The following is an 18,723-nucleotide window of genomic DNA, read 5'->3' on the forward strand; positions in this document are numbered from 1 at the left end:
GGCCACTAGAGTGAAACTCCGCCTCAAAAAAACAAAAGAAGAGGCCGAGCACGGTGGCTCATGCCTGTAATCCCAGCACTTTGGGAGGCCGAGGCAGGCAGATCATGAGGTCAGGAGATCAAGACCATCCTGGCTAACACAGTGAAACCCCGTCTCTACTAAAAATATAAAAAATTAGCTGGGCATGGTGACCGGGGCCTGTGGTCCCAGCTACTCGGGAGGCTGAGGCAGGAGAATGGTGTGAACCCGGGAGGCAGAGCTTGTAGTGAGCCAAGATCGCGCCACTGCACTCCAGCCTGGGCGACAGAGCGAGACTCCGTCTCAAAAAAAAAAACAACGAATGATTCTATTACAAAGCGGACGTGCTCAGAGAGCAGGAAGAACTCGCTGTCCTTTGTTAGTGTTTCTGCTTATAAGAAACTACAAGGAATCTCTACACGTAGACCTGAATGTGCAGCTGTGCTCACCGAAGGTTGGGGCTGCTGGTGTTCCCGGTGACCAATCACCTTCAGCCTCAGCCTGCTCACTGGCGCTTTCTCAGTGAAGTGGGCTGCACTCTCCGGAGGTCTGGACATTCTCAGGCCTGCTGGGAAATGTCCTGTATGGCCATAACTATTTTGCAGCTATTTGCATAACTATTTTGCAGTCATAGTTGGTGGTCAGCTTGGGACATAGCTGTTTTCAGCCCCTAAGCATGAACTTTATACTTGCCTTGTGAGTGCCAAGCTAGGGACTATGAGATGGAGTCACTCTGGTCGTGTTTTATGAGGGTGGAGGCCTGGAAAAGGCAGAGCTTCCTCCATCATAACCATCGTGGTGCCCCTGTCTGGGCCGGCTGTGTGCCAGCATCACAGCCCCCGGACCAAGTACTGCTCCATGCACCGATGTCTGTTTTGCAGAATTGGAATCTCAGCTTCCGGAACCGCCCACTCCACCATCAGCCAAGCCGGGACCACTCCATAGTGCCTGGCCCCTGAGCTGTGCCCATGCTCCTGTGTTGAAGACCTGGTTCCCGTGAGGGACCTGGCCCCTCATTTGAACTCTCGGCACCTCATTTCTCTCCTCTGTAAAACGGGGATAGAAGGCCACCTCCCACAGCCCTGACTGCACAGGACATCCTGCTCTGGCCTGGCGGGTGGAGGAAACAGTGGCCGAGCGAGAGGCGCTGACCTCCCAGAGTCGGGAAGCCTGGGCCAACCAGGGAAGACTTCCTGGAAGAGGTGACCGGGGCGGAGACCCAGTGATGCGTCTGCTCCAGGCTAGGGGCTCGGTCCTCTTTTCTGTTTTGACCTCATGGGGGATGGAATTTAGAGCGATGGGAGCAGAAGCCAGCCTCTGAGCTCAGAGCATGGCTACTGCTCTCTGCGAGTGGGTCCTGCTGAGGGATCCTCTGTGGATTATCGGATTAACGTTCAATGCGTCCACACCAGAGGCTGAGCTAGCAAAGCCGGACATCTCTATTTACTCAACTTCTTAAACGCGACGGCCAGTACCCTGACGATTTGGCCATGTGAAAACCAAAGAGAAGAGGTATTTTTTTTTTAAATATGTAGAACAAACAACACCAAAGTTATTTTATTCATTCAAAGTGTGAAAAGGCCAACAATAGCCTGGGGTGGGTGGGGGTGAAGGCACCCTGGCAGCCACCTTCCCTGGCGTCCCTGGCACGGAGCGGTGTCCCTGGCACGGAGCAGCGTCCCTGGCATGGAGCAGCGTGGAGTGGGGTGGGTGTAGGGAGGGGTAAGGTGAGCACGGAAGCGAGGCGCCTGTGAGCGTAGCCAAACGAGGCGCAGAGGAGACCAGAAGGAAAGCCACCCACGGGCTGCGAGATCGCGCAGGGGCGGTGGGAACCAGGGCAGCCTCTTCTCTCCAGGCCTGTTCCCTCCAGGTTCCAGCGTCCCTCTCACCGCAGCCCTTCCTTCTGCTCACGCAAAGCTCCTTGTTCTAATTTGAATTTCAATGGATGTACAAAGGTCAGACCTCAAACCCCTCCTGGTGAACCAGTCACCCAGTCGCTCCCCTGAGCTGGTGGCTTCTCCCTCGGCCCCTGCTTTTCTCCCTCTCCCTCGGCCCCTGCTTTTCCCCCACGTTGGCTGTTTCTCTGGTTTTGGACGTCCCTGCTGCTCGCTGTGCCGTGGACTCTTTCAGGTGCTGGGAAATGTCTTCTGTGTGTTTGTTTGACATCTGCCTCTCAGCTGCCAGTTGGTTCATTCAGTAGAAATCCCCTTCTTTCAGATGAAGTCAGATTTACCAATGCTTTGCAGTGTAGTTTGGTCCCAGGGCCTCGGGGATCTTGCTCCGTTCCCTTTTTTGGTTTCCTCCCCATCTCCACTTTTTCTTTTTTTTTTTTCCCCCGAGATGGAGTCTCCCTCTGTCACCCAGGCTGGAGTGAAGTGGCATGATCTCGGCTCACTGCAACCTCCACCTCCTGGGTTCAAGCGGTTTCCAGCTAATTTTTGTATTTTTGACAGAGACGGGGTTTCGCCATGTTGGCCAGGCTGGTCTCAAACTCCTGACCACAAGTGATCCACCTGACTCGGCCTTCCAGAGTGCTGGGATTACAGGCCTGAGCCACCACGCCCGGCTTTCGTCGCTTTTAAGTGCGTAATTCAGTGGCATTATGTACATTCAGAATGCTGTATAACCATCACCGCTACCCATTTCTAGAAATTTCTCACCTCACACAGACACTGTCCCCATTAAACAATAATTCTCCACTGCTCTGGCTCCCGGTCGCTGCTGTTTTCTTTCCGTCTGTGTCTTCACCTGTTCTGAATGTTTCAAATAAACAGGCTCATACGTTTGCACCCCTCACCCCCGCAATTTTTTTTTTTTTTTTTTTTAGAAAATCTCGCTCTGTTGCCCAGGCTGGAGTGCAATGGCGTGATCTCAACTCACTGCAACCTTCACCTCCTGGGTTCAAGCGATTCTCCTGCCTCAGCCTCCTGAGTAGCTGGGACTACAGGCATGAGCCACTGTGTCTGGTTAATTTTTGTATTTTTAGTAGAGATGGGGTTTCACCACATTGGCCAGGCTGGTCTCGAACTCCTGACCTCAAGTGATCCACTCTCCTGGGCCTCCCAAAGTGCTGGAATTACAGATGTGAGCTGCCGCGCCCATCGGATGTGAGCTGCCGCGCCCGTCCGGCCGGCAAAGTGTTCTCGGGGTTCATCCACATTGTAGCACGTGTCAGAATGTTACTCCCTTTTAGGGCTGAATGATATTTCATTGAATAACTAAAAATAAAATCCTAAGTCCCACACCAACTGAAAGGACCCCCATTTGGCCAAGGGGACCCCAAAGAAAACCTTAAAACAGAGTTCCCAAGCATGATGGGAAGGGAGTCGGGCAGCCTCCTTGTACCCCTCCCTTCTGGAGTTGAGGCTTAACGACCACCCGGCATTCATGTTAAAGTACAGATCGCAAGACTGACAAAGAGACTCTGGCAATAAGATACCAAATTATAAAGGAGGCCTAAGGCCCTGCCGGGCAGAGGTTAGGTCACGCCTGCTTCTCGCCCTCCTGCTACATGGGTCACTGTGACCCAGTGGAGGGGGCGGACTCTGACACAGCGTCCTTACGTGACCTTACACCTTCCTTTTTGGTGGTTCCGAGTTTTAGAGCCTGACTCCTTTAACCAATTACAAGTTAAAGAGAATCTGAATACACCTGGAACACACTCCCCACCCCACTTTGAGATATCCCACCTTTAGCCGGGCACGGTGGCTCACGCCTGTCCTCTCAGCACTTTGGGAGGCCAAGGTGGGCAGATCACCTGAGGTCAGGAGTTCGAGACCAGCCTGGCCAACATGGTGAAACCCCGTCTCTACTAAAAATACAAAAATTAGCCGGGCGTGGTGGCAGGTGCCTGTAATCCCAGCTACTCGGGAGGCTGAGGCAGAAGAATTGCTTGAACCCAGGAGGCAGAGGTTGCAGTGAGCCAAGACTGTGCCATTGCACTCCAGCCTGGGCAACAGAGCAAAACTCCATCTCAAAAAAAAAAAAAAAAAAAGATTGCTCATCTTTTAGGGCTGAACTGATGTACACTGACTTATGTATTTTATGTCTGCCTATAACTGCTGCCTCCCTGGCATGTACAAAACCAAATTTCTAACCTGACAGCTTCAGAATCATACACTTGAGGCTTCCTGGGCTTGTTTTCCCTGGGCTGCAGTTACTCATATTGGCTCAGAAGAAACCTCTTTGAAATATTTCACAGAGGCGGGGCGCAGTGGCTCACGCCTGTATCCCAGCGCTTTGGGAGGCCGAGGCGGGCGGATCACCTGAGGTCAGGAGTTCAAGACCAGCCTGACCAATATGGTGAAACCCTGTCTCTAGTAAAAATACAAAATTAGCCGGGCGTGGTGGTGGGCGCCTGTAATCCCAGCTACTCAGGAGGCTGAGGCAGGAGAATCGCTTGAGCCTGGAAGGCTGAGGAGGCAGTGAGCTGAGATGGTGCCATTGCCCTCCAGCCTGGGTGACAGAGCAAGACCCCGTCTCAAAAAAAATTTTTTTTCCATAGTCTGTTTTTTTCCATGAATAATTGTATGGATGGACCACATTGTGTTTATCTGTCTATCAGTTGATGGACAGGGGTTGTTTCTGCCTTGGCCGTTATGAATAATGCTGCTGGGAACATGGGTGTGTGAGGATCTGTTCAAGTTCCCGTTTTTTATTCTTTTGTTTTGCGGGAATTGCTGGGTCATGTGGTCATTCTATGTTTAACTTTTTGCAGAACCACCAAGCTGTTCTCCACGGAGGCCACACCCTCTAACCTGCTCACCGGCAGCACACGGGGGTTCCTGTCCCGCAGAACCACCAAGCTGTTCTCCACGGAGGCCACACCCTCTAACGTGCTCACCGGCAGCACACGGGGGTTCCTGTCCCTCCACATCCTCATCACAGCTTGTTAAGCTACTAATTTTTATTTTTTGAGATGGAGTCTCGCTCTGTCACCCAGGCTGGAGGGCAGTGGCACCATCTTGGCTCACTGCAACCTCCGCTTCCCGGGTTCAAGCGATTCTCCTGACTCAGCGTCCTGAGTAGCTGGGATTATAGGTGCACGCCACCATACCTGGCTAATTTTTGTATTATTAGTAGAGATGGGATTTTATCATGTTGGCCGGGCTGGTCTCAAACTCCTGACCTCAAGTGATCCGCCCGCCTCAGCCTTCCGAAGTGCTGGGATGACAGGCATGAACTACTGTGCCTAGCCTAATTTTTGTATTTTTAGTAGAGACAGGGTTTTGCCATGTTGGTCAGGCTGGTCTCAAACTCCTGACCTCAGGTGATCTGCCCGCCTCAGCCTCCCAAAGTGCTGGGATTACAGGCATGAGCCACCGGGCCTAGCTGCTATTAATTTTTATATCAGTTTTATTGTGTTAAACTTATGTACAATAAATGCATCCATTTACAGTATACAATTTCAGGCTGGATGCGCTGGCTCACATCTATAATCCCAGCACTTTGCGAGGCCAAGATGGGTGTATCGTTTGAGCCCAGGAGTTCAAGACCAGCCTGGGCAACATAGCGAGACCCCATCTCTACAAAAATTAGCCGGGTACAGTGGCACGCACCTGCAGTCCCAGCTACTTAGGTGGAGGTGGGAGGATCACCTGAGCCCTGGAGGTTGAAGCTACAGTGAGCCGTGATTGTGCCATTGCACTCCAGCCTGGGCGACAGAGCAAGACGCTGCCTCCAAAGAAGAAAATAAAGCATATAATTCAAACAGTCCTGGAAGTTATACACACCCACGAATCCATCACCACAGTCAAGACACAGAGCATTTTCCTCACCTTCCAGAGACTTCCTAGAGTCTCTGCAGTCTGCTCCTCTCTCCTGCTCTTGTTGAGTAGGAATCCTTCATTCTGATGAAGTTGCCCAGCACAGGCAACCACTGATCTGCTTCTTGTCAGAATAGATTAGCTTGCCTTTTAAATTTTTATGTAAGAGGAATCATACCTTATGTACTCTGAGTCTGCCTCTTTCATTGAGCATAATGATTTTGAAATTCATTTATTTTTTTCGTATATGAGATGGTATTGCCCTTTTTATCATTGGGCAGTACACCATAGTGTTAATATGCCATACTTTGTTCATCTATTGATGGAAGTGTGTGTGTATATATATATATATTTTTTTTTTTTAAACCATTTTTGGCTATTGTGAATGGAGCTGCTGTAGATATTCATGCATAAGTCTTTGTGTGAACACGTTTTCATTTCTCTCGGGACATTCCTTAGGAGTGGAATAGCTAAGTGGCATGGTTGGGTATAAGTTTAACTTCTTAATAAAGTGCCAAACAAAACTGCCTGTATCCATTTGCACTCCCACCAGCAGCCTCTGAGAGTTCCAGTTGCTCCACTTCCTTGCCAACACTTGTCATTGTTGGTCCTTAATTTAGTCATTTTAGTGGGTGTGTAATGCGCAGTGTTGCACTGTGGATTTCTCACTGCGGATGGAATTTGCATTTCCTTAATGAGTAATGTCTAGTGGGTGTGTAGTGAGTGGTATCTCCTTGTGGATTTCATTTGCATTTAGTGAGCGGTGATGACGATGAGCCTCTTTTCACATTCAGATTGATCGTGTGTTGTGTATTTTTTGAGACAGGGTTTTCACCCAGGGTGTGGTTATAGCTCACTGCAGCCTCAAACTGGCCTCAAGCTATCCTCCCACCTCCTCCTCCCAAGTAGATGGGACTTCAGGCCTGCGTCACCATGCCTGGCTAGTTTTTAAATTTTTTGCAGAGATGGGGTCCCATTATGTCACCCAGGTTGGCGTGCAGTGGCGTGGTCATAGCTCGCTGCAGCCTCAAACTCCTGGGTCAAGTGATCCTCCCACCTCAGCCTAAAGTGCTGGGACTACAGGCATGCACCATCACACCTGGCTTTTGTATCTTTTTGTGTGTGTGTGCAGTGTCTGTTTAAATCTTTTGCCCATTTTTAAATAACAGCTTTACTGAGAGATAATCCACACTATACAGCTCACCCATTTACCCATTGGAAGTACCGTTCGGGCCCAGTGTGGTGGCTGCAGCCTGAAATCCTAGCATTGGGAGGTCAAGGTGGGCGGATCGCCTGAGGTCAGGAGTTCAAGACCAGTCTGATCAACATGGTGAAACCCCGTCTCTACTAAAAATACAAAAATTAGCTGGGCGTGGTGGCACACGCCTGTAATCCCAGCACTTTGGGAGGCCAAGGCGGGCTGATCACTTGAGGTCAGGAGTTTGAGACCAGCCTGGCCAACATGGTGAAACCCCGTCTCTACTAAAAATACAAAAATTAGCCGGGCGTGGTGGCGGGCGCCTGTAATCCCAGCTACTCCGGTGGCTGAGGCAGAAGAATCGCTTGAACCTGGGAGGCGGAGCTTGCAGTGAGCCGAGATCGAGCCACTGCACTCCATCCTGAGCGACAGAGGGAGACTCATCTCAAAAAAGAAAAGGAAAGAAACTCCATACCCCTTAGAAGTCAGTCCTCCTGACTGGTCTCCCTCCCGCGGGTCTTACGAAACCACTCATCTACTTCCTGTCTCTCTAAATTGACCCACTCTGGACGTTTCATCTAAAGGGACTCGTACGACGTGTCCGTGTTTCCAGGCTCAGCCGCGTTGCAGCACATATGGCCTGGGTTTTACGGGATTGTCTGTCTTATCATTGAACTGCAAATGTTCCTTGTCAATTCTGGGTATATGTCATGCAAATATTTCTCTTATTCTGTGGCTTGGCTCTTTATTTTCTTCACGGCATCATTCAAAGAGCAGCAGTGTCAGTCATGGTTTCTGCCTTCTTTCTTCCATCTAACAGGTCTTTGCCTGTTCCAAGCCCACAAACACTTCCTCTTGAATTTCCTTCTAATGGTTTTATAGTTTCAGCCTTTATACTCAGGCCTATGGTTGGCTTTGAGTAAATTTTGCATATAATATGAGGTAGGAATCTACGTTCTTTCAATCACATAGACACATAGATATGGCCGGGCATGGTGGCTCATGCCTGTAATCCCAGCACTTTGGGAGGCCGAGGTGGGCGGATCACGAGGTCAGGAGATCGAGACCATCCCAGCTAACACGGTGAAACTCCATCTCTACTTAAAAAAAAAAGCCAGGCATGGTGGCGGGCGCTTGTAGTTCCAGCTACTCAGGAGGCCGAGGCAGGAGAATGGCATGAACCTGGGAGGCGGAGGTTGCAGTGAGCGGAGATCGCGCCACTGCACTCCAGCCTGGGCGACAGAGCAAGACTCCGTCTCAGAAAAAAAAAAAATCACACAGATATTCTTATTTTTCTTCTTTCTTTCTTTCTTTTTTTTTTCAGTAGAGACGGGGTTTCATCATGTTGGCCAGGATGGTCTTGATCTCTTGACCTCATGATCCACCTCGGCCTCCCAAAGTGCTGGGATTACAGGCGTGAGCCACCACGCCTGGGCTTTTTTTTTTTTTTTTTTTTTTTTGAGATGGAGTCTCGCTCTGTTGCCCAGGCTGGAGTGCAGTGGTGCCATCTCGGCTCACTGTAAGCTCTGCCTCCCGGGTTCACGCCATTCTCCTGCCTCAGCCTCCCGAGTAGCTGGGACTACAGGCGCCCGCCACCACGCCCGGCTAATTTTTTGTATTTTTAGTAGAGACGGGGTTTCACCGTGTTAGCCAAGATGGTCTCGATCTCCTGACCTCATGATCTGCCTGCCTCGGCCTCCAAAAGTGCTGGGATTACAGGCGTGAGTCACTGCGCCCGGCATTTTTTTTTTTTTTTTTTTTTTTTTTGAGACAGGGTCTTGCTCTGTTGCCCAGGCTGGAGTGCAGTGGCGTGATCTCGACTCACTGCAACCCCTACCTCCTGGGTTCAAGTGATTCTTCTGCCTCAGCCTCCTGAGTAACTAGGATTACAGGCATGTGCCACCACGCCCAGTTAATTTTCATATTTTTAGTAGAAACGGGGTTCCTCCATGTTGGCCAGGCTGGTCTCGAACTCCTGACCTCAGGTGATCCGCCCACCTCGGCCTACCAAAGTGCTGGGATGACAGGCGTGCGCCACCACACAGGGCCTCATTTAAAGATTCTTTATAGAGATGAGGTGTCACTACGTTGCCCAGGCTGGTCTTGAACTTCTGGCCTCAACGGACCCTCCCGCATCGGCCTCCCACGGTGCTGGCTGAAGGGTGAGCCCAGGCTGGCCACAGCGCGTTTTCATCATTGTCCGCAGCTTGCAGTCGGCTGGTTCAGAGCTTAGCCGGGCACATGGGCCCCTCTGAGGCTCCTGTTCAGGGCTCAGCCGTGTCTACGGGGCCCTCCGAGCTCTTCCTGGACCCTCCTCGGCTCCTTCAGTTCAGGGCTCAGCTGGGCACGTGGGCGCCTCCTTGGCTCCTCCGGCTCAGGCCTCTCCTCGAGCTCTGGGCCCTGAGTATTCTGGGCTCCTTCCTTGGTTTCCTTTGGCCTTTGGCCGGGAAAGTTGTGGGTGTCCGTGGCAGCCTGGGCCACTTCACAGCCCCGCAGCCAACCTGCGGCTCCTTCAGAGCAAAGCTGTGTGGACACAAAGGGAACGCCACTCGGAGCTGGCCTCTCCCTTTACCTGTGAGTTCCCGCCCAAGCCGGCTGCCTTCTGTCCCCTCCCCAGAGCCCTTGGGTAACTGGTTTGCTACAAGAGTGTCTGGAATTTTTCAGTTGTTCTCTGCGGAAGGGAGTTTTTAAAAGGCCCTTAATCCCTTCTTGACATTTGTAAGTTGACGCTTACACCTGGCAGCCTTGCTGAATTCTGTGTGCGTGAAGGTCCGATTCCACCGCGAGTCACGATAGAAAACCCACTCTGTGGAGAGACCAGAGATGACCGCCGCGCACACCTCCGTTCAGCACACAAACCTTTGCAGGTGTTCATAGCGGAGGCAGATTCCGTACTGGGGATAAGAGCTCACGACATGCTGGGAGGGGTTTCAGGGGCAGGGAGGGGGCTTCTGTGGCCCCAGGTCAGGAGGAGCAGCTCTTCCATCAGCAGCAGGCAGCCAGCCCAGATGCGTAGGGAAGACAGCTCCCACTTCGCCAGGCCAGAGAGCGCCCGGGGGCAGCTCTGTTCCAGTCGACCCTGCGAGAAAGGGGTGTGCGTGTGCCTGGAGCTGGGCCCCGTCCTGCCTCCCTGACCTGTGTGCTCCCACAGCCCTGAGACGGACGGCTCACAGCCTTGCGAGGCCCACACTGCACTGGGGGTCAGGCTTGTGCTCCCGGGAGTCCTGTCTGGGCTGCGTGGCCACCATCCAGAGCCTGCTGACCTGCGACTGGGGGGGCCAGTGCTCCCTGGGTTTCAGCACCTGAGAATCAGAGTGGGATCCCGTGAAACCTGGGCCCAGGCTCCCACCCACGCCCCACACCCACCCAGGGAAGCCATGAAACCTGGGCCCGGGCTCCTACACATGCCCCACACCCACCCAGGGCAGCCGTGAAACCTGGGCCCGGGCTCCCACCCTCGCCCACCGAGGGCAGCTTTGCCTTCCTGGGCATCCCTCCTCCCCCAGGCCTGGCCCGCTGCCTGTCCAAGGCTCCTGTGCGGGGTCTCCACCCACACATTCCTGGGGCGTGAGGCGCCACCACTCCCTGCTGCCCCGGGCAAAGCCGTCATTTGTTCCCTTTGACGGCCCGGGAGGCTGCCAGGCTCTCCACCCCCACTTCCCAATTGAGGAAACCGAGGCAGAGGAGGCTCAGGTGTGGCCAATCACCCTGCACATCAGAGTTACCCTGGGCAGGGCCCACTGAGACCTGGGAGGGGCCACTCGGGACCTGGAGGGCTGGGGGCTGCCCGGGCGTTAGGGGTAAAGCTCCCTACCCAACTGCGCAGAAGGCCTCAGAGGCCTGGGGGCTGGGCTTCCCCTTTCACATCGCCCTTTAGAGGCCCACGTGTGGGCATTGGCCCGCGATCTGAAAGGGGCTGTCCTGTTCCTCATGGGCGCTGCCAGCGCCACGCACTCCTCTTTCTGCCTGGCCGGCCACTCCCGTCTGCTGTGACGCGCGGACAGAGAGCTACCGGTGGACCCACGGTGCCTCCCTCCCTGGGATCTGTAAGTAACAACCTTTGAGCTCTTCCTGTTGTGGTGTGGATGGAATCTGCACCTTCCATCTGGAGAACTGGGGCCGCCCCAGGCCGGGCTTCCAGCACCAGAGCGATGGTCAGGCTTCAGCTGGACGCAGATTTCACCCCGCAGGGCACACGCAGACCCATTTGTTTGGAAGCGGCAGTCCTAAGGCAGTGCAGGTGCCTCCACGGCCCCAGCCCAGCTCTCCTGCAGGTGTAAAGGATGCAGATTCCAGGGCCCCCCATGGCCTGCAGAGGCCCCTCAGAGCAGGAAGGGCCGGGCTCTCGGGGAGCCCCCATCCCAGGTGCTGAGGTCCTTGGGTCACATGGAGCTGGGGTGGGGAGTGCCCAGGTCCCCTGTGATCCGATGGCCACGTTTCCCTCCTGGCTTCACGCACCCCAAGGGCTGGGGGTCCCACTCACTGCCCATTTTCTGGCTGTGGGGGGGGTCTGTTTTCTTCCACCTTCTCAAGGTGTTCAGAGCCTCAGGGGCCTCCCCACTTCCTCTGGGGCCTGGGGGAGTAGAGTCTGTCACCCGGAGGCTGTGTGCCTCCCCGCGACATTCCCCAGTGGCCGGGCCGACCAGGCAGGCTCTGCCTGTGGATGGGGCTGCTGAGCATGAGCGTGTGACCCCCATTTCTGAGCTGTGGGTGGACCCACCGGGCCTGGGCCAAGGTTTTCAGGAGGCAGCTCTATTCTACTCCGCCATGGTGGCCTCCCTGAAAGGGGTGAGTGTAGAAGCCAGTTCCCTCTTCTGCGAGCCCCACCCCTACCCCAGGAGGACAATTCTTGTTCAGGGAGGGTCTCCCCACCCACTTCCCCACCCCACAGTGGCCCACAGGCCCCACCCTAGAGAGTACAAGGGGCTCCCCAGGCTGCTCACTGGCCCAGCCCCGCCCCACCTGGACTGCACCTGAAAATGGGCTCAGAGAGGCCAAGTGGCCCAAAAAGACGCTGCTGGGTGGGAAGGGGCGGTGGCCTCTGTGCCCGCAGTGCCCCTCCTGCCTCAAGGGTGTTGTCTGCCTGGCAGAGCCTGGGGTGTTCACAAAGCCCAGGCACCTGCAGCTGAGGGCAGGGGAGAGGGAAGGGAGCCACATCCAGGCGACGGGGCTGCTCGTCCTCCTGTGCGAGAGTGGGGAGACTCAGGCCAGCCCAAGTGGGCGGCGGCCCCGGTTGCTTGATCTAAGCTCTGCTCACACTGCCCTGCCCTTCTGGGAGAGGGGTGGGCGCCAACTGACTCCTGGGCTGTCTGGGCTGGGGACCGGGATCTCAGACCCAGCCCCTCCCCTGGACAGGAGGAGCCAGTCCAGGGGACAGAGGGCTCAGTGGCTGGAGGGCAGGGCCAGGGTGCGGACACAAGCTGCAGGTACCACAGAAGTTTGCTCTGGGAGCCCCTCCTGGGCCCATGTGGCCCCAGGCTGGCCCAGGACAGAGGCGTGGGGTGGGAGCAGGGGGTCCCATCCTGAGTCACTGCCCTCCACAGACACAGACCATGGCCTTGCCAACGGCTCGACCCCTGTTGGGGTCCTGTGGGACCCCCGCCCTCGGCAGCCTCCTGTTCCTGCTCTTCAGCCTCGGTGCGTACTTGATGGGGCTGCTGGTGAGGTGGGGACGGCCCAGGGGCCTTGGGGGCCAGGCCCCCAGCAAGGCTTTGCCTGCCCCTGCCTTCTCCCTGGAGTGCCTGTGGTGGCCACGTCTCAGCAGCAGTCTCTGCCCCCAGAGGTGACTGGAGCTGGAGATCCAGCCAGGGAGTGATGGGGCTCAGGACACAGTGGGGATGTCTGTGGGATGGGTGGTCTGACCGGCCAAGCAGCCGGGTCTCAGGGAAAGATGTGGAAGGCCGGGCTCCCTGGTGGAGTCCCGACCCCTGTGCCTGGGGGACTGTGATGTCACGGGGTACATGGGCCTGAGCCACTGGCTTCTCTTTGGGGTGTGCACAGGGCTGGCTGTGGGGGCGGCCAGGCTCTGCCTCCTTCCTCCCCTGGGTCAGGGCACAGCCCAGAGGCCCGCCCCCTCCCCCAAGCTGTCCCCTCTGCCCCTTTAGGATGGGTGCAGCCCTCGAGGACCCTGGCTGGAGAGACAGGGCAGGTAAGGTCCCCTCTGGGGAAACAGGGGAGGGTCTTCAGGTCCCAGGTGGGGGTGCCATGCTGTGTTCTCTCTGTCACGTATCCACGGTGCTTGCCAGTTTCCACGGTCCTTGCTTGCAAAGGGGCACCTGGACCTGCATGTGACTGGCCTGGGAGCAGCCAGGTCCAGGGAGCGGCAGAGCTGAAATTGCAGCTGGGTCTGGGAAGTAGATGGATGAGAAGCAGCCAAGCCCATGGGTCTGAGACACAGCCAGGCCTGGGAAGTAGCTGAACTCGGGGAGTACCTGGCCCAGGGGTAGCGGGACCTGGGAACTCCTGCTCCAGAGAGCTGGTCTGAGCCATGTTCAGCAGGCCCTGTGTCCCCAGGAGGCTGCGCCCCTGGACGGAGTCCTGGCCAACCCACCTAACATTTCCAGGTGGGTCTGGGGTCCTCACAGTCCTCAAGGGTGAGGCTCGAGGGGCCCTCGGGACTGAGGGTGGGCAGGGCACCCCATCCCCCAGCATCCCCTCCCCCTTCCTCCTCTGCTCCACCTCAGATCTGACTGGGCTCAGGACTGCGGGAGGGACTGACACCCCTCAGGTGATGGCAACTCCCGGCCCTTGAGGGCGTCACCTGGTCTTGGGGGGAGGTCTGCAGGGAGCACCAGGGTCCTTTGGGGAGAGGTGGGGCTGTGGGGCTTGGGGAGCACTGGGTGGACATTGCAGGGGAGGGGCGATCGTGGGTGCCCAGCCCGACCCTTCCTGCAGCCTCTCCCCTCGCCAACTCCTTGGCTTCCCGTGTGCGGAGGTGTCCGGCCTGAGCACGGAGCGTGTCCGGGAGCTGGCTGTGGCCTTGGCACAGAAGAATGTCAAGCTCTCAACAGAGCAGGTCAGTCTCAGTTGGGCTGAGGCAGGTGGGCACAGCTGGGGCTGAGGAATTCACAGGCAGCTCTGCAGTGCCCACCTTGCCACCACGGTCCCCTCTGTCCCTGCTGCCATCTCTCCCCGGCCAGTTCTTCCCAGAGTTCCTCTGGCCACCCAAGCTGACCACTGGGGTGCCTGTCCACGTCAGGGGCTGGCTCCCCAGGAGCAAGTCTGATATGACGCTGTGTGCTGGGCCCCCTCCTGGAGCGCCGTGGGCAGCCCTCCAGGCTCTGCCCCAAGGGTGAATCTTTTTCGGGGGAGTGGGTGAGATCTGGGGAAGGGGAGCGGAGCCAGGCACGGGAGCCCCCATCCCCCAGGGCAGCGCTGCAGGCGGCCAGAGATCCACTTCCACAGATTCTCGTGGCCAGGGCAGGGGTGTGTTGTGGTGGGCAGACTGGCCAGGCGACCCTGGCCCACCATGTGAGTGGCGGCTCGAAACGCTCTGTGCTGGACTCCCTGCCCCTGCAGCTGCGCTGTCTGGCTCACCGGCTCTCTGAGCCCCCCGAGGACCTGGACGCCCTCCCATTGGACCTGCTGCTATTCCTCAAGTAGGCCCTGCCCCCTGAACCCACCCCCCCGGCTTTTGCCGCCAGCCCTCAGCCCCCAACCCCCTGCCCCTTGCCTCGGATCCCAGGCCACAGCAGAGATGTGGAGGCCGGCCGGGCTGCCTCTCAGGGTGGGGACGGGTGTGATCAGTGCGGCCTGTCCCCAGCACCCTCTCTTCACAGCCCAGATGCGTTCTCGGGGCCCCAGGCCTGCACCCGTTTCTTCTCCCGCATCACGAAGGCCAATGTGGACCTGCTCCCGAGGGGGGCTCCCGAGCGACAGCGGCTGCTGCCTGCGGCTCTGGCCTGCTGGGTAGGGGCTGGGGCCAGCGCGGGGCGGAGAGGGCTCGGCAGTTCCAAAAGCGCTGAGGCCAGCCTCTCTGCAGGGTGTGCGGGGGTCTCTGCTGAGCGAGGCTGATGTGCGGGCTCTGGGAGGCCTGGCTTGCGACCTGCCTGGGCGCTTTGTGGCCGAGTCGGCCGAAGTGCTGCTACCCCGGCTGGTGAGCTGCCCGGGACCCCTGGACCAGGACCAGCAGGAGGCAGCCAGGGCGGCTCTGCAGGGCGGGGGACCCCCCTACGGGTAAGTGAAGGTGTCTGGAACCTCGAAGGCTCACCTGGCGGCGTGGTATCAGCAGCGTGAGGACACTTGCGGCCATGCCTCAAGGCCCAGGGTCAGTCACCCCCGCCACCACCCCTGCCAATGCCCCCAGCGTCCCCTCCACAGCCAGGGGGTACGGCCTGGCCTCTTCCCTCTCTGGGGCTGCACGTGGGGGGTCCCTGAGCTGTGTCCCGTGTCTGCACAGCCCCCCGTCGACATGGTCTGTCTCCACGATGGACGCTCTGCGGGGCCTGCTGCCCGTGCTGGGCCAGCCCATCATCCGCAGCATCCCGCAGGTGAGACCCCAATCCCCAGCCCGTGGGGATGCCCGGCCACCCGAGGCTCAGCCCAGGTCCTGCTCGTCCTCAGGGCATCGTGGCCGCGTGGCGGCAACGCTCCTCTCGGGACCCATCCTGGCGGCAGCCTGAACGGACCATCCTCCGGCCGCGGTTCCGGCGGGAAGTGGAGAGTGAGTGCCGTGCCCTGCGCAGTCTGGCACCAGGCTGGGCAGCACCCCTGGGGGTGGGCATCACTTTAGGGTCTCACCTGCCCCTCCCTGGCTCTGCAGCACATCCCATTATAATCACAGAGAGTGGACAGAATCCCTGTTTGCCAGTGGGTAAACTGAGGCACAGGGAGGGTCACAAATGGCCCGAGGTCTCATCTCACAGGAGGTGTGGGAGGAAGAAGGGGTCAAACGAACTCCGGCCCTGACCCCTGACCCCTGTGCCCTGCAGAGACAGCCTGTCCTTCAGGCAAGAAGGCCCGCGAGATAGACGAGAGCCTCATCTTCTACAAGAAGTGGGAGCTGGAAGCCTGCGTGGATGCGGCCCTGCTGGCCACCCAGATGGACCGCGTGAACGCCATCCCCTTCACCTACGAGCAGCTGGACGTCCTAAAGCATAAACTGGATGAGGTAGTTCATGACTCAAGTTCCCACCGGCCTGCTGTGTCCAAGCCATCCCCAGCCCCTCTGGGAGTGACATGGGCCCTCCTGGTCTCTTGGCCTGCAGCTCTACCCACAAGGTTACCCCGAGTCTGTGATCCAGCACCTGGGCTACCTCTTCCTCAAGATGAGCCCTGAGGACATTCGCAAGTGGAATGTGACGTCCCTGGAGACCCTGAAGGCTTTGCTTGAAGTCAACAAAGGGCACGAAATGAGTCCTCAGGTGACCGTCCGGCTCGGGGGTCATGTGGCATGAGATTGGGAAGGGCTGAGGGGCAGAGTGGGGGACAAAGCCTGAGGTTGGGCGGGCCTGGGGTCAGGGGCACGGCCTGAGGTTATGCTGGTGGTGGAGGGATACATCTCTCCTTGCCACAAGGCTCCTCGGCGGCCCCTCCCACAGGTGGCCACCCTGATCGACCGCTTTGTGAAGGGAAGGGGCCAGCTAGACAAAGACACCCTAGACACCCTGACCGCCTTCTACCCTGGGTACCTGTGCTCCCTCAGCCCCGAGGAGCTGAGCTCCGTGCCCCCCAGCAGCATCTGGTGAGTCCCCAGAACTCTGCCCGGCAAGGTGGGTCCGTGTGCTGGCGCTCACTGTCCACCCACCGTGTCCCCAGGGCGGTCAGGCCCCAGGACCTGGACACGTGTGACCCAAGGCAGCTGGACGTCCTCTATCCCAAGGCCCGCCTTGCTTTCCAGAACATGAACGGGTCCGAATACTTCGTGAAGATCCAGTCCTTCCTGGGTGAGCCAGGGAGTCCCTGGCCAGGGTGGGCAACACAACGGGGGAAGCACAGACTCCACTCGGGGGTGCCAGGCCTTTGCCTCGCCGGGCCGTCTGCTGCCAGGGTAACTGGGTGGTCACCCGCCCTCTGCCCCCCGGGGTGTGTATGGCCTTAGGGGCTGTGGGTTCTGACCCCAGCTCGGGGCGCCAGCCACCTCCAGGGTCTCCCACGCCTGGGGGTCAGGCGGCTAGGCAAACCCAGGCCCTGGAATCCCTAAGGAAAAAGGGAAGCCCTGTAAGGCAAGTGGGCTTCCTGCAGCCTGTGGTCAAGGGCCTGGGGGTGTGAGGTGAGGCCTCAGCTCGGGCCCCTCTCCCGGCGGGCAGGTGGGGCCCCCACGGAGGATTTGAAGGCGCTCAGTCAGCAGAATGTGAGCATGGACTTGGCCACGTTCATGAAGCTGCGGACGGATGCGGTGCTGGTATGGCGAGCGGGAGGAGGGGCGTGTGGAGGAGGGGCCCGTGGAGGAGGGGCGAGTGGGAGGAGGGGCGCGTGGAGGGGGGGCGTGTGGGGGGGTGCGTGGAGGAGGGGCGCGTGGAGGAGGGGCGCGTGGAGGGGGGAGCGTGGGGGGCGTGGAGGAGGGGCGCGTGGAGGAGGGGCGCGTGGAGGGGGGAGCGTGGGGGGCGTGGAGGAGGGGCGCGTGGAGGGGGGAGTGTGGGGGGGCGTGGAGGAGGAGGGGCGCATGGGGGGGTGTGGAGGGGGGCGCGTGGAGGAGGGGCGCGTGGAGGGGGGAGCGTGGGGGGCGTGGAGGAGGGGCGCGTGGAGGGGGGCGCGTGGGGGGGGCGCATGGGGGGGCGTGGAGGGGGGTGCGTGGAGGAGGGGCGCGTGGAGGAGGAGGGGCGCATGGGGGGGTGTGGAGGGGGGCGCGTGGAGGGGGCACGTGGAGGGGTCGCGTGGAGGAGGGGCGCGTGGAGGGGGCCGTGTGGGGGGGCGTGGAGGGGGGCGCGTGGAGGAGGAGGGGCGCATGGGGGGGTGTGGAGGGGGGCGCGTGGAGGGGGCGCGTGGAGGAGGGGCACATGGAGGGGGGGGCAAGTGGAGAAGCCCTGGTGGAGGGGCGCATGGAGGAGGGGCCAACGGGGGGTGGGAGGGCGTGTAAGGCGGGTCTGCAGTGGGGCGAGGCCTTAGGAAGGGCAGCATCTTCCCGTGTGGTGGGGCCTAGGGAAGGGCAGCCATTGAGCTGAGGTCAGCTGGCCGGAGACCTCCGAAGTCTGGAGAGGCTGCGGTGGGCATCTGTGGGTGGGGCAGTTTGGACACAGGAGAGCCTGGCAGCCCTCTGGCGGCGCTGAGGGAAGGAGACCCTCCTTGATGGCTGCCCGGGGTCTCTGGCAGCCGTTGACTGTGGCTGAGGTGCAGAAACTTCTGGGACCCCACGTGGAGGGCCTGAAGGCGGAGGAGCGGCACCGCCCGGTGCGGGACTGGATCCTACGGCAGCGGCAGGACGACCTGGACACGCTGGGGCTGGGGCTACAGGGCGGCATCCCCAACGGCTACCTGGTCCTAGACCTCAGCATGCAAGGTGGGCGGGGCGGCCAGGCCAGGGCTGGGGGCAGAGCTGGGGGCGTGGAGGTGGGCGCTCTGAGTCACCCCTCTCTCTGTAGAGGCCCTCTCGGGGACGCCCTGCCTCCTAGGACCTGGACCTGTTCTCACCGTCCTGGCACTGCTCCTAGCCTCCACCCTGGCCTGAGGGCCCCACTCCCTTGCTGGCCCCAGCCCTGCTGGGGATCCCCGCCTGGCCAGGAGCAGGCACGGGTGGTCCCCGTTCCACCCCAAGAGAACTCGCGCTCAGTAAACGGGAACATGCCCCCTGCAGACACGTCTTGT

General features: G+C 58.7%; 1 protein-coding gene across 3 annotated transcripts, besides 9 other annotated features; it reads left to right on the top strand.

The window, feature by feature from the left end:
- Nucleotides 467-1,034: an enhancer, noted in NCBI's record as "H3K4me1 hESC enhancer chr16:800614-801181 (GRCh37/hg19 assembly coordinates)". NCBI's record gives its function as "activates a minimal SCP1, AML or CMV promoter by ChIP-STARR-seq in primed H9 embryonic stem cells {active_cell/tissue: H9 hESC(primed)}" and the evidence as "EXISTENCE:reporter gene assay evidence [ECO:0000049][PMID:30033119]".
- Nucleotides 9,168-11,017: a promoter, noted in NCBI's record as "1850 promoter fragment". NCBI's record gives the evidence for it as "EXISTENCE:reporter gene assay evidence [ECO:0000049][PMID:10683314]".
- Nucleotides 9,834-10,359: an enhancer, noted in NCBI's record as "H3K27ac-H3K4me1 hESC enhancer chr16:809981-810506 (GRCh37/hg19 assembly coordinates)". NCBI's record gives its function as "activates a minimal SCP1, AML or CMV promoter by ChIP-STARR-seq in naive H9 embryonic stem cells {active_cell/tissue: H9 hESC(naive)}" and the evidence as "EXISTENCE:reporter gene assay evidence [ECO:0000049][PMID:30033119]".
- Nucleotides 10,523-10,551: a protein binding site, noted in NCBI's record as "MCAT; TEF-1 site". NCBI's record gives its function as "positive regulation of promoter activity" and the evidence as "EXISTENCE:protein binding evidence [ECO:0000024][PMID:17909009]".
- Nucleotides 10,523-11,003: a promoter, noted in NCBI's record as "-67 to +413 minimal promoter". NCBI's record gives the evidence for it as "EXISTENCE:reporter gene assay evidence [ECO:0000049][PMID:17909009]".
- Nucleotides 10,525-10,543: a promoter, noted in NCBI's record as "CanScript (-65 to -46)". NCBI's record gives its function as "has bi-directional promoter activity" and the evidence as "EXISTENCE:reporter gene assay evidence [ECO:0000049][PMID:21288909]".
- Nucleotides 10,525-10,543: an enhancer, noted in NCBI's record as "CanScript (-65 to -46)". NCBI's record gives its function as "enhancer when multimerized" and the evidence as "EXISTENCE:reporter gene assay evidence [ECO:0000049][PMID:17909009]".
- Nucleotides 10,587-18,718, top strand: MSLN (mesothelin). 3 transcript variants are annotated; one of them, NM_005823.6, is made up of 18 exons: nucleotides 10,587-10,674; nucleotides 10,926-11,027; nucleotides 12,525-12,618; nucleotides 13,086-13,129; nucleotides 13,495-13,544; nucleotides 13,876-13,996; nucleotides 14,500-14,579; nucleotides 14,760-14,889; nucleotides 14,963-15,156; nucleotides 15,380-15,470; nucleotides 15,544-15,643; nucleotides 15,912-16,090; nucleotides 16,188-16,343; nucleotides 16,521-16,663; nucleotides 16,738-16,865; nucleotides 17,229-17,323; nucleotides 18,232-18,418; nucleotides 18,501-18,715. In NM_005823.6, exons 3-18 carry the CDS (start codon nucleotides 12,534-12,536, stop codon nucleotides 18,584-18,586), a joined length of 1,869 nt encoding a protein of 622 aa, NP_005814.2. In that variant the 5' UTR covers nucleotides 10,587-10,674; nucleotides 10,926-11,027; nucleotides 12,525-12,533; the 3' UTR covers nucleotides 18,587-18,715. The 3 variants fall into 3 exon arrangements, with proteins under 3 accessions (NP_005814.2, NP_001170826.1, NP_037536.2); NM_001177355.3 differs by having other exon boundaries at nucleotides 10,986-11,027; NM_013404.4 differs by lacking the exon at nucleotides 10,587-10,674 and having other exon boundaries at nucleotides 16,497-16,663; nucleotides 18,501-18,718.
- Nucleotides 10,588-10,674: a mobile genetic element.
- Nucleotides 10,820-11,017: a mobile genetic element, noted in NCBI's record as "3' partial".
- Nucleotides 18,719-18,723: the final 5 nt, after the last annotated feature.

Source organism: Homo sapiens, chromosome 16 (genome assembly GCF_000001405.40).
Source record: "Homo sapiens chromosome 16, GRCh38.p14 Primary Assembly".
Classification (NCBI taxonomy): Eukaryota; Metazoa; Chordata; class Mammalia; order Primates; family Hominidae; genus Homo; species Homo sapiens.

Bases quoted from the DNA above. Each gene is read 5' to 3' on its own strand.
- MSLN (NM_013404.4), top strand. From the start codon at position 12,534: ATGGCCTTGCCAACGGCTCGACCCCTGTTGGGGTCCTGTGGGACCCCC. The intron at 15,471-15,543 runs GTGAGACCCCAA...GCTCGTCCTCAG, and splicing joins TCATCCGCAGCATCCCGCAG to GGCATCGTGGCCGCGTGGCG. The intron at 16,866-17,228 runs GTGAGCCAGGGA...CCCGGCGGGCAG, and splicing joins GAAGATCCAGTCCTTCCTGG to GTGGGGCCCCCACGGAGGAT.